This window comes from Homo sapiens, chromosome 11 (assembly GCF_000001405.40).
Source record: "Homo sapiens chromosome 11, GRCh38.p14 Primary Assembly".
Taxonomy (NCBI): Eukaryota; Metazoa; Chordata; class Mammalia; order Primates; family Hominidae; genus Homo; species Homo sapiens.
This window is the reverse complement of record NC_000011.10, coordinates 57,390,667-57,404,284: the sequence shown is the minus strand read 5'-3', so window position 1 is coordinate 57,404,284 and position 13,618 is coordinate 57,390,667.

Here is a 13,618-nt window from a genome sequence, read left to right as displayed (position 1 = left end):
TCCTGTTTGAGCTCCTGAGTAGCTGGGACTACAGGCGCATGCCACCACATCTGGCTAATCTTTTATTTATTTATTTATTTATTTATAGAGATTGGGGAGTCTCACTCTGTTGCTCAGGCTGGTGTCAAACGCCTGGACTCAAGTGATCCTCCCACCTTGGCCTCCCAAAGTGTTGGGATTATGGGTGTGAGCCACTGTACCTGGCACCTCCTGCAACTTCTTCCTCAAGTGGAACCAATGAGGAAGCAAGCAACTCAGAGCTTTCACAAGTTTTGATTTCAATCAGCAACGGGCTTCCAATGCAACCCTTCTCTCCTGTAACCAGCCTCAGTAGAGAGGAACTGGAGGTGAATTGGCCCCCATCACACCCCCACAGTGCCAAGCTGGGCCCTTCCATCAGGGGGAGAACACATGCCGTGTAAGGGACAGCCAACAGCATAAAATAGGAATTGTGTGATGATCCCTTTTAAGCCTATTCAGCCCAGGGAAGTGCATATGATCAGCCCCATTTCATAGATGAAGAAAGTCAGGTTCACCCATTAGCACATTGTGGGGCTGGTATTTAAACCAGGTCTGTCTGGCTCCCAAGGTCACATTCATTTAGACATTACCTTTACTTTACATTTCTTCTTCTTTTCTTCTTCTTCTTCTTCTTCTTCTTCTTCTTCTTCTTCTTCTTCTTCTTCTTCTTCTTCTTCTTCTTCTTCTTCTTCTTCTTCTTCTTCTTCTTCTTCCTCTTCTTCCTCTTCTTCCTCTTCTTCCTCTTCTTCCTCTTCTTTTCTTCTTCCTCTTCTTCCTCTTCTTCCTCTTCTTCTTCTTCTTCTTCTTCTTCTTCTTCCTCTTCTTCTTTCTTCTTCTTCTTCTTTTTTTTTTGAGGTGGGGTCTTGCTCTATTGCCCAGGTTGAATGCAGCATCATCATACCTAAATGCAGCCTTGAACTCCTGGCCTTAAGCAATCCCCCTGCCTCGGCCTCCAAAAGTGCCAAGATTTCAGGCATGAGCCACCATGCCCAGCCTGCATTTATTCTCTTGTAAGAAAGATATCATTTAAAACAGACGAGAAAATAAAGAGGGACATGAAAAAGACGCATCACCATTAATTGGACCACTCAGAGATAATCATGGTTAACATGTTGGTATGTTCCCTCCCGTCATTTGACTGGATGTATGTGATAATTTAAATGATCTCATAAGCTTTTCCTTATGTAATCAAATAGTAGCCAAAAACATGATTTTAAATGGCTGCTCACAACCCCATCTCGTGGTTCTGCCACGCCTTGTTTATCCCCATCCACCCCCTACTCCCTTTCCCCTTCCCTGCCTGTGTGGGGGTCCTAGATGACGGTGAGCCAGAGGGCAGCCTTGGTCAGCAGATTGGAGAGTGCAAATAATAAAAACACTCAGAAGGCGAGCTGTTGTCAAGTGGGCTTATCACAAAAGAGCACCTTGGGATATTCCAGAGAATGACCTCATACCCGCTAATCACTATCCATAATCTGGTGCTAACTGTACTTTAGCTGAAGGTGCTGGCAGGTCCTGCCCAGGTGCTGCTAAGAACACTTCTATTCTGTGAGAATCAGAGATGATTTCTAGGGAAAATGGGCGAGAGGGAGTAAGCAGGAGAAACAACCCACAGGCACAGCTCTCATCTTTCTGCCCTGAGAGCCTTCCTCCTGCCACGTGGTTTTGTTTGTTTGTTTGTTTGTTTGTTTCAGATAGGGTCTCACTCTGTCACCCAGGCTGGAGTGTAGTGGCAAGATCATGGCTCACTGAAGCCTCGACCTCCCAGGCTCAAGCAGTCCTCCCCAAATTCAAAGCTTGGAGTGATGGTCCCAGTGGTTATGTCTAGGAGCCCTTTTTCCTGCCAGCCCCTCAGGGGATTGATGACTCTCAAATGCTTCAGGTGTGACATGGGCACAGCAGTGAGTCATTCCTCTGACATTCTTTGGGAAGAACATTTTCCATCCAGGCTTCCAGGCATAAGATCCAGTCCTCTGGTGATAAGGAGTTCACAGACAGGACAATGTCTGAGTGTATCTTAAACCCAGGACCATGGCTTGTGTTCACACCAGACCCTCCAGGGATTTTGAGGTGTTTTGTTTGTTTGTTTGTTTGTTTGTTTGTTTTTTGAGACAGAGTCTCTCTCTGTCGCCAGGCTGGAGTGCAGTGGCACGATCTCAGCTCACTGCAACCTTCGCCTCCCGGTTCAAGCGATTCTCCTGTCTCAGCCTCCTGAGTAGCTGGGACTACAGGTGTGCACCACCACACCCGGCTAATTTTTGTATTTTTAATAGAGACTGTGTTTCACCATGTTGGACAGGATGGTCTTGATCTCTTGACCTCGTGATCCTCCCGCCTCGGCCTCCCAAAATACTGGGATTACAGGCATGAGCCACCGTGGCCCGCCCAATTTTGAGTTTTTATGTTCTAATCCCAAACATCTGCTCACAGGCCCCTCAGCATATTCTTTCCTGGGTCCAGTGTCACCTCCCAGGCCTGCAGGCTGGCTAGAGCAGTAGGGTGTGTGGGAAAGCTCTGGGCTTTGCAGGCACTGATCAGCTGTGTGACCTTAACCACCCTGAACCTCAGTTTCCTCACCTGTAATGGAAATAGGTACCACGGCAGTTTGTTGCAAGGACTAGAGAGTAACCTTGGGAATAAAAGGTAGCAGCAGCTTGGGCTCTGGAGATGGACTGTCCAAGACCAACTTCCAGTTCCTCCCCACACAAGCTCTGGCACTTAGATTCCTGGTACCTCCGCTGCTTCATCTGTAAAATGGAGTAACAATAGGAATACTTTATAGAGTTGTAAGGATTGAGTGGCTGGATGAACGTCAAGCACTTCAAAGGGGACCTGGCATGTAGTGAGTGATCAATATAAACCACCTGGCTTGTAGCAGGTGTGCTGTGTGTGGCTGCAGGTGTTATTAGTAACATCTGTGTGCCCTTCAGAGCGTGCACCACACTTCACACCTTGTGGAGTCTGGAATGCCACTATTATAGTTCAGGATAGAAAACCTCCCTGCAAGCACTCGCTTTAGCTTGTCTCCACCGAACAAAACAACACAAGTTCTTTATTACTTGGAATGGGAAAACTTCAAAGGCAAAAAAAAAAAAAGACTTTCGAGTTACCCCAAATCTTAAGCCAAAGTCAATGAAAAATATCAATCTTCATATTCAATTTTTGCGATACTTTTGTCTCCCCAGCAGTCAATGGAGAGAATCCAAGCACACAGAAATGTCAATTACCAGGGGCAGGGCTATGAATTCCTTTCAGAGCCCTGGGCTGGGGAAGAGTGCAGGCAGACAGATCTGGGTCCTGTTATCACGTTCTTAGATTGGGTGTCCTTGTAGGAGTCATGAAGCATCTTAGTGCCTTTGTTTGCTACCTATAATGCCTACCTCAGAGAGTAATAAGGATAAGTAAGGCTCTACGTGAAAAGTGCTCGGCCCTGGCACATAGTAGGTCCTTCATTAATGGCAGCTACTAATTTTTATTACATACGCAAAATCACATTACAGGTCAAGTACGCTACATGACAGTGAAACAGTTTTTTTGTTTGTTTGTTTTGAGACAGAGTCTCGCTCTGTCACCCAGGCTGGAGTGCAGTGGCACGATCTTGGCTCACCGCAACTTCTGCCTTCAAGCAATTCTCCTGTCTCAGCCTCCCGAGTAGCTGGGATTACAGGCATGTGCCACCACGCCAGCTAATTTTTTTTGGTATTTTTAGTAGAGACGGGGTTTCACCATATTGGCCAGACTGGTCTCAAACTCCTGACCTTGTGATCTGCCCAACTCAGACTCCCAAAGTGCTGGGATTACTGGCATGAGCCACCGCACCTGGCTGTGAAACAGTTTTATTGTGTTTCTGTGGAATGTGTCCTACCCAACCTATAGCTAACTCCTATAGTTCCCTCAGTTCTCAGCTCAGATATCCCTTCCTTTCTGTACTGTTACCTAGTACTGGTTTTCATAGCACCAGGTACCTCTCTGGCATAGAGCTTGTCACAGTTGCAGTTTAATGTACCATCATAGGATTTTAAAAATATTCAGTTGTGTCTTCCATTAGGCTTTCATTTGGGAACTCCACGCAGGCAGCAGCTGTATATTTTGTATTGCCTACTGTATCCTGAGAACTTTGTACCCTACTTAGCACAGAATGGAGGCTCAGTAAATACTGGACATGAGAGAGAGAGAGAGAGAGAGAGGAGAGGGAGAGAGAGAGAGAGAGATTCAACCTACAATCCCAGCTCTGAGCTTCTAGTTCCCTGATGGTGAGGACTGTGATGTGTCTCACACGGTAATGAGCACTTATGCAGAAGAGGCTCAGAAAATTTCTCCTCATGGCCAACGGAAGACTTAGAGTTCTTTTCCAAGCTCCACCGTTTGCTGGCATGCAAAATTTGGACTATCACTTAAGTTTTCCAAGCCTTGCTTTTTCTATCCCTAACATAGGACAATATTCAGCATTGTTGTTTGTTTGTTGGGGGCACCATGTTTCAGGCACTTAGTAGATTATTGTACCACCACATTTCAATTGGTCCTCCTCAAGCCCTGCAACATCTGTGAGGTGGTCATCCTTAACAACTCACAGATGAGCAACAGGAGACTGGGGGGATGAGGGAACTGCCAAGGAGGTCCAGCTTATGGGCAGCAGAGCCAAGAATGGAACCAGGGTCTTTTATTTTTTTATTTTTTTATTTTTATTTTTTAACCAGGGTCTTTTAACATCCGAGGACCACATTCTTTGTGCTTTCCAAATCATCACCTGCCCCATGCAACTTACAGGGTAAGTTACATTAAACAACGTATGTAAATGGCTTTGTGCTAGTTATTCACCACCACAGGGGAAGTGAGTCACGGACAAGAGTGCAGCCGCTCCATTCGGATCCTGGCTCTGACACTTACCTGGAAAATGACTTAACCATTCCCAGGATCAGCTGTTTGTCTGTAATTTAGGTAGTTTAATGGCACTTGTGTCCTAGAGTTGTTTAGAAGGTTGAATAATATGGAGCACTTAACATACTTAGCACCTAGAAACACTTCCTAAATATTAGTTGCTGCTGTTGTTATCGTTATTAAAATTTCTGCCTAAGATCTCATTTCAGGGAGCCCAACTCAATCTTTGACAAGCTTAAACAAAAATTGCTTTTCTTCATTTATTCACTTACACAGCAAACATGAATTGAGCCTGTACTGTGTTTCCAGAACTGTGCAGGACCAGAGAGGCACAGGTGAAGGAAGCAAGGCTCTGGCTCTACTGGGGAAACAGCAAGAAGATTGCTACAATGAGGTGGGAAGAGGGCTGGACTAGAGAGAAGCCCTGATTAGTGTCCTTGCTACCTTTCTCTGGGAGAGCCAAGGCAGGCTTCCTGGAAGAGGTGATCCTTGGCTGAAACTTCGATGAAGAAAAGGAAAGAGCGCAGTGGTTAGGGAGGAAAGGGCATTCTGGGCAGATGAAATGACATGTGACAAAATATGGGTGATCATGGCATGTTAGGAAAATAGCAGGGTGTTCAACATGATTGGAGCACTGTGTGTGTGTGGTGAGGGGGAGAATTGAGGTTGTCAAGAAGTGGTTCTCAACTGAGCATAGTTTTGCCTCAGAGGGGACATTTGGTAATGTCTGCAGACATTTTTTGATTGTCACAGCCCAGCCGAGAAGGTACTACTAGTATCTTTTTGGTAGAGGCTAGAGAGGCTGCTAAACATCTAACAATGCACAGGACAGGCCTCTGTAACAAAAAAGTATCCAGTCAAAAATGTCCACAGTGTTGAGAGGTTTAGGTAAGTAGGCGCTAAAACATAAGGAGACTGTGCCTGAGAGCAAGAAGGAGTAATTGGAAAGTGCTGGTGTGATTAGCTCTGGGTTTTAGAAAGCTCATTTTGGCTGCTTGTAGACAGTGCATCAGAGGTGGAGGAGGGTGGTAAGACTGGAGGCAGGGAAAGTAATTTGGGAGCCACTGAAATGATCCAGGTGAAAAACGGTCAGCAGGTGACTAGGAAAGTGGCAGAGGCAATGGGGATGGGTGGCTGGATGAGATGGTGAAGAAAGCACTATAACTAACTAATGTGTGGATGATGGGCAGGAGGGGTGAAGGATGACCAGAGTCCTGCCTTGCAGGTCTAGTTGGAAGGTGATGGTTTCTCCTGAGAAAGTGACCACAAAAAGTGAAGCAGGTTTGTGCGTGTGTGTGTGTGTGTGTGTGTGTGTGTGTTGAGTTCAGTCTGAGATGTGTTGGACTCACAATGTCCATGGGACATCCAAGTGGAGAAGCATCTTGGGTGACCATATGTGTGAGTCTGCAGCTCAGAAACAGGCCTGGGGCTGGAGATGAAGACTTGGGAATGATCTGCGTATATATTTGGTAGCTTGAGCCACAAGAGTAGATGACATAACCCGTGGTGGGTGTGCAGAATTAGGAGAGACGTGCACCAAGAAGCCAGGTGATCCCCAATATTTAACCATCTGGAAGAATAAGAGGAGCCTGCCAACAGAAATTGGGAGGGAATGGCCACAAAGGCTACTGAGAAGGGAAGCAGTTCTTAAGAAGGGGGAAGTGAAGAGGTATCACTACTGCAGAGGTCAAGTAGGATAAGAACTGAAGAATGTCTGTTGGGTTTGGCAATGGGGTAGTCAGTGGGCACCTGGGCAAAAGCAGTTTTGGTGGAGCAATAGGGATAACAGAAACAAGACTGCTATGGTAAGAGGAGGAAGAGGGTGTTGAGGAAGTGGCCAGCGAGTCTACACCACTTGCTGGAGGAGCTTGGCTTTGGTGCAAAGCAGAGAAGCCAGCTCACTCATTGACTTAACCTCCAAGAAACACAAAATCATCCATATCCTGGCTCAAATTCCAGCACTACCAGGAGATGGTTGGCCCCTAGAAATGCCATCCCACTTCTCCTCTGCTTATCCTATCCTATCTGTCAGTCTGTTGAGCCCAGGCTAAGCGCTACCTCCTCAAGCAAGCCTTCTCTGCCTGCCGTCACACTTTAAGTGATCCTGACAACACTGAAAATGTGTGTCTCTTCCATTCATGTTAGTTCTACACTTCTGAGTATCTCCTCAATATATTGCCTTGTTTTACTAATATGCTCGTTCTGTTTGCCTTATTTATCAGCTACCTTAAACCTCCCTGCAACTAGAGATTCTCTTTAAGTATTTGTTGAATAAATGAATGAATCAATCGATGATCCAGAGCCTGGTAGAGGCTTGTGTCCATGGTGGATGAGGCTCAGAAAATACCTGTAGAATCGAAATAAATGCATGTGTGCTCTGATCTAAACTCAGCTAAACTTTCTCCAGGGGGTAAAGTTCAAGTTGATTAGTCAATTGATTAATTAATTCATTATGTAATGGAAAAACTCCTTCTATGACCTGGGCAGAGTTATAGGCAGTGAACAAGACAGACAAGGTCCTTGTTGTCATGAAGTTTGCTTTCTGAAGGAGAGAGATAATAAACAAGAAACCAGTAAGAAAGCAAGATTATATCATTTTGGTAAATGTTCTTGTGGAAATAAATGTGATGATGTGTAACAAAAGTACCAAATAGGAGAGTGGGGTGGGTGGGCTTCTTTTAGAAAGAGTTCTCGGAGAAGGCTTATCTGAGGAGGTGGCCTTTTAACCAGTACAAATGCTTTAGCTTGGCCAGTGGAGCTGGGACCAGGATGACAAGGGTCACTTGTCATGCCAGTGAGTTTGAGCTTGTAGACAAGAGCCTGATCATGAAAGACTTTGCAGATGGTGGTAATGGGTTTGGGTTAATTGCTACTATGTGGGAAGACTTTGAATGGGAAGCATGGGGACAATGGCCTGTGATACATGTTATCAAATATGGTCGCAGGGGCTAGTGAGGTGGCAGCAGAGATAGGGAGAAGTAGACGGACTGGGGAAGGTAGAAGATGGGGCAGGGGAGGCAATTACTGCAAAGACATATTCCTTCTAAGCTCACTGAGTGTTCATGGTCTCTGGGAGCAGAGGTTCCTGGAGGGGAAAGAGGATAATGTCACTTCCTGAGGAAGCGGGAAGAACCCATCTGAGACGTGGGGACTGTGCTGGTTCGTTTCTAAGGGGCCTTCCAGATCTCACATGCCAATCGTCTTGGTCTATGTCAATTGTTGGGGCATCCAAATGGGGAACTGTTGTCCAGGCCGATTTCACAGAACAACCGCCCAGTCCATATCTCCCGAGCCATTCACCCTTGCAGTGGCGTTAGCTCTTTCACCAGCTTTTATCTGCCCCGTGGGGATGTTGGCCAAGCCCAGTTAACAAGCAGTTGATCAGCCCCAGAGATCAGGTCCCTGGAGTCTGTCACTTTTCTGAGGGTGGGGAGAGAATCCTGGAGCAGAACATGTAACTAGAAGGGCCACCTGGCTTCCTATGGTCTGAGGGAGAGAATGGTGGGATCTCTGGCCTGAATCAAACCTCCCTTTCTCAGTGTCCATCTTACCTCTCTGCTGTACCTTCGTTATTTTCCAGCAGCTCCTCAGCCCGTTCCTGTGGGACCCTTCTCTGCCAATCCCTACACCCACTGTAAATTTCACCGTGGGAGGGAGATGGGCCTTGAGGGCTGTATTAGTCTTCTATTCTGCATAACAAATTGCCTCAAATTTAGCAGCTTCAAACAACTCATGTTTATTAGCTCATCGTGAGTTCATCAGCAGTGTGGGCCCAGCATGGCTAGGTTTTCTGCTCAGGGTCTCACAAGGCTAAAATCAAGATGTTGTCTGGGCTGTGTGCTCATCTGGAGTTTAGGGTTCTCTTCCAGGCTCACGTGGTTGTGGCAGAATTCTGTTCCCTGGAGTTGCAGGGCTGAGGTCCTGTTTTCTTGCTGACTGTCAGATGAGGGCTGCTCTCAGGTCCTCGAGGCTGCCCACATTGCTTGCCACGTGCGTGGTCTTTTCCATCCTTGAAGCCAGTGATGGAGAATTTCCCTTGGATTGAATCACCCACATGGTTGGACTCTCTGACTTCAGGAAGAGAGCCCTGTCTCTTTTATGGGATCACCTGATTAGATCATACCCATAGAGGGCAGTTCCTTTTCCTTAAAGTCAACTGTGGCATGTAACATCACACAACCACAGGAGTAAAATCCATCATATTTACAGTCCCAGGGATTATGCACAGTGCACCAGGGGACAACTGAATTCTGCCTGTCAAAAGGGCCAAGCAGGACTTTATTGGTGAAGAACAGTGGAATGTCATTCTTGGTTCTTCCAGAAAAAAATCACTCAGTAAAGTTAGAGGTTCTCTTGCCTTTTGGGAAGTCATCAAAGAATCTCATGGAGGGTTTGGACCTTCACCCTAGAAACATCACACCATGTTTTCTATAATTGCAGGGTTCATGGTCCCTTGAAGCCTATTCATAGTTTCCAGGTTGAAAAGCTCTGCTGCAGGGTGTGGGGAGGGATGCAGGTGGAGGTGAGGGCTGAATAGTGTGAGCTGCATATCTGGAGCTGTGGTGGTTTTTTTAGTCTTTAAGCTGTCATGTGTTGGGGGTTGGGCATGGGAGGGGCATCCCAAGAGCTCCTTGGTATTGACACCATCTCCAAGGTGATCTCTGCTCTGCCTGGTGCACACATGTTTTTCTCCTGTTGCAACAGCCCACTCTTGTAGAAGAGCAGACCCCTCAGTACCAGGTCTGACCCTGGACAGCTTGTACCAGGAGCTACAGCACACTCCCCCACAAGCCTAAAGTTGGGATGAGCCCCCCGAGAATTAGATCAGAAAAGATTAAATGCAGAGGTGATCTGTCAGGTCCCCTTTGGAAGTGCTGGTATGGAGAGGATTGACTGAGTCTGTTTAGGAACCTCCAAGCTCTGTAGTAACTTTAGGGCTAGAAAGGAGGATGCCTAAGATTCAGGATCCTGCAGTGATGAGTCAACATTTCTTGGGGAAGGAGGCAGGGCTGAGGATTAAACGGAGATGATGGGTATCGTTCTCTTGCTCAAAGGCACTGGACCCCAAGGCCTCCAGCTCTTCGCTCCCATTTGAAATTCAAGTCCTGAGCACACCACAGTTGTGATGCAGGGAAAGAATGTGCTTATCAGAGAGCCTGGGCAAGTGGGCCCCTTGTGAGTACCGTTCAACCTCATTTATGTCATTGGCACCAAAAGTAGACATCAGTCTCTTGAAAGTTTGATTAATGCTGGTCACACTCAAAGACCCTGGGTAGCATTCATTTACTAAGCAATTACTAAATACCAGTTTCTGTGCTAAATGCTGCATCAGTCAGGGCTCTTAATGGCAGGCAGCAGAAACTCTCCTTGGCTGATCTAAGTAGAAAAATCCAGGACTGAAAGGAAACGGAGTAGCTCATGAAATTGCAGGAAGGGCCGGAAAACCAGACATGGAGCCAAAGTCAGGCTGCAGAACAGGTCTAGGGAGGATCCCACTGCTGCTGAGACCTAGACCTTGTGTCTGGCACCCAGGATGTTGTAGGGCTCAGACCCTGGATCAATGTATCCTGCAGTGCCTCTGTGGGTACTGCAACTCCAGGAACTCAATCTTGTCAACGCCACCGCCAGAGAGAGGCCTTCTTGGCCTCCATCTTTTTGGTCACTAGCTCCAGATTCAAAATCTTGAATAGATGCTTCTTCTCTTTGATAGAGCCCAGTCATATGCGTTAGCTGCAAAGGAAGCTGAAAATCTATTAGGAACTTTTGTCTTCAAAAATGAGAGGCCTGTCCTCCACCAAGATCCATAGGAAATGGAATCCAAGAAACCACAGGAAGGGGTGAGGTGACTGGGCAGCTCACAGCATGCATGCTACATGTGAATTATCTCATTCATTTCTCACACTACCCAGTGAGGTAGGTATTGTCATCCCTACTTCATAAATGATGATATGAGGTACAGAAAGTTTAAGGAACTTGCCCAGGACACGACACGCAGCTATTAAGTGCTAGACCCAGTCAATTTGAGTCTGACTTGGACTGTCTGACTCCAGAAGCCACCCTCTCAGACACTGCTGTATACTTCCAGTGAATGTTGATGAAATTTTCAGGGTTGCTAAGCTGTGGATTTCAGATCCTGGATTGTATGACCTAAAAGAGAGACTTCCCTAGGAGTGAGGGTCCCTGAACAGTCAACTGGTTTCCAAGAATGGGCTCCCTCTCATCACCTTATGACAGTAATCCTCTGTCCAACAGCCAAAGAGGTCCTGTGGGGAGGGCTTGCAGATGGGAGTGCGCAGAGCCCAGCTCAAAGCTCCTGACTAGGCTCTTGTTGAGTATTCCTTTGATTCCTGCTTCTGTCTTTTTAAATCAATGGAGACAGGGGAGGGTTATCTCCATCCTCGGCTCAAGATGAAATGCATCGTTCCTCGTTTTTCTCATTCCTTCCCAATGTGTGTACTGTTAACTTTAGTTATGAAGGAAATTACAGTGTCCTGTGCATATACCAAGGCTGTCCAACCTCCACACCTTTGCTCAAGCTGTTCCTTCTACTTGAAATGCCTGTTTCCTTCCCTTCTAATTGCATCTTTCCATCCAGGTAGGAATCAGCTCCTTGGTTCATGGAGCCTTTTCTGCTCTGTTTTACTATGCATGGACTTCCTTCTGAATTAGCAGAGGATGTTTCCTAGCTTGGTCTTAACCCTTCTCCTTTTGTTTGACCTCAATTTACTCATCTTACAAATTAGGTTGTAAGCTAATTGAATACAGGATCTATGCTTCACTCTGATTTTATCTCCACCTGGATAGCATCATTTTTGACACACAAGCAGGCATATGGGAGGGGAGAGAAGTTTGGTGCCAGAAAGAACTGGATTTGAATTCTAACCCTGTTGTTTACGTGAGTACGTTACTTAACCATTAATTACTTCAATGTATATTTATTAAGTACCTACTATGTGCCGGGCACTGTACTAAGCACCAAGGATACAATGGTGAGTAAAGAGATGCAGCCTTCACCATCACGAAGGAAGACAGATGTTAATCCATTAACCAAGTAATCTCACAAGAAAAGTAAAATGACTAACTGATAAGGACAAGCCCCTGGAGCTACAAGAGGGTGTATACAGGGCATCGATCCAATAAGGGCAGTGTTGCGGGGAGATCAGGAGCCACACAGAGCCTGGGTTGTCTCACTTGGAAAATGGGGTATCAACCACCTACCTCACTAGGTTTTTAAAATCAGGTTAAATGAGGTAATACTTGCCATGAACAGTATTTTGTTGATTGATGATTGATTGAAACGGAGTCTCACTCTCTCGCCCAAGCTGGAGTGCAGTGGTGCAATCTCAGCTCACTGCAACCTCTACTTCCTGGGTTCAAGTGATTCTCCTGCCTCAGACTCCCAAGTAGCTGGGATTACAGGCAGCCACCCCTATGCCTGACTAATTTTTGTATTTTTAGTAGAGACAAGGCTTTGCAATGTTGACCAGGCTGGTCTCAACCTCCTGACCTCAAAAGATCCACCCACCTCAGCCTCCCAAAGTGCTGGGATCACAGGCATGAGCCACTGCATCCAGCCACTTGCCATGCATGGCATTTAAAAATGTTCAGTAAATGTTACCATAATGAAGGCTGGTAGGTTGGCCAACTGAGTGGTCTGATTCAGAAGGAAAGAAGTTAGACATACGTGAACATTTCCTGTACTTGAAGATCCTCAGGACAGTGACTCCTAGACCCATCTTCCATCACAGTCAGCTGGGAAGCTTTTAAAAAAATGCAGACATCTGACCTTCACGCTAGACCTATTAGCCAAGCAGAAGTTTCTGGGCAGGGCATCTGCATATTTTTAAAAATCTTTAATAAGGCAGCCTCAAAATTACAGATTCAGCACGCATTTACCATAACCACTGAAGAAATGCAAAGTTATAAAAAGAAGATAAACAACAATCTGTCTCCTGCTTTCTTCCCTCTCCTCCCCTGCTTCTGGAGGCAACAAGGTCAACTATTTGGTGTGATTCCTTTTAGCATTCCCTCCATCAATGGTCACATAAGGATGCTCACAGATAAGCACCTATGCGGGGGTTTTTTTTTTCCTTGTAAAACTATTCACATACTAAATACTTTCCTCAGTATCTTGCCTTTTTTCACTTCATGTCACAGAAACATCTCTTCAGGTTTATAGATACAGGTCCAGCTCTTCTTTTCATAGCCATATAACATTCTGTAGAATAGAGAGGACACATTTTACTCAGTGTCCGATTGATGGATATCAATATTGTTTTCATTTCTACAAATAGTCAAGGAATAACATAACTCTGTAAAAGTTTTATTACTTATAGGCGCATTTATGCCTAAAGGATAGTCTCAAAAGAGTGAAACTGATCAAATGTGCATTTTTTTATTTTAATAGGTATGGACAGATTTGTTCTCAAAATGTTTGTGGCAGTTCAAAACACCAGTAAAACAGGGGAGATATGTATTTTGGAAAAGCACCCAAGGCGATTCTGAAGTGTAGCCCAGGATAAGAACCATTGCCCAGAGCTGTTCCAGATGGCCCCTGGGTTCCTGAAGTGGGTATCGGGAGAGAAATCTTCACTGAATGAATGAGTGGGCTCCCCAGGGAAGTGATGAAATGGTCCTTATCAGCCTTGCTATCTCCCTCTGACAGAGGCAAACTCTCTCTCCCTGGGGGAAGTTCCTCCAAGGCCTCTATATAAGAAGT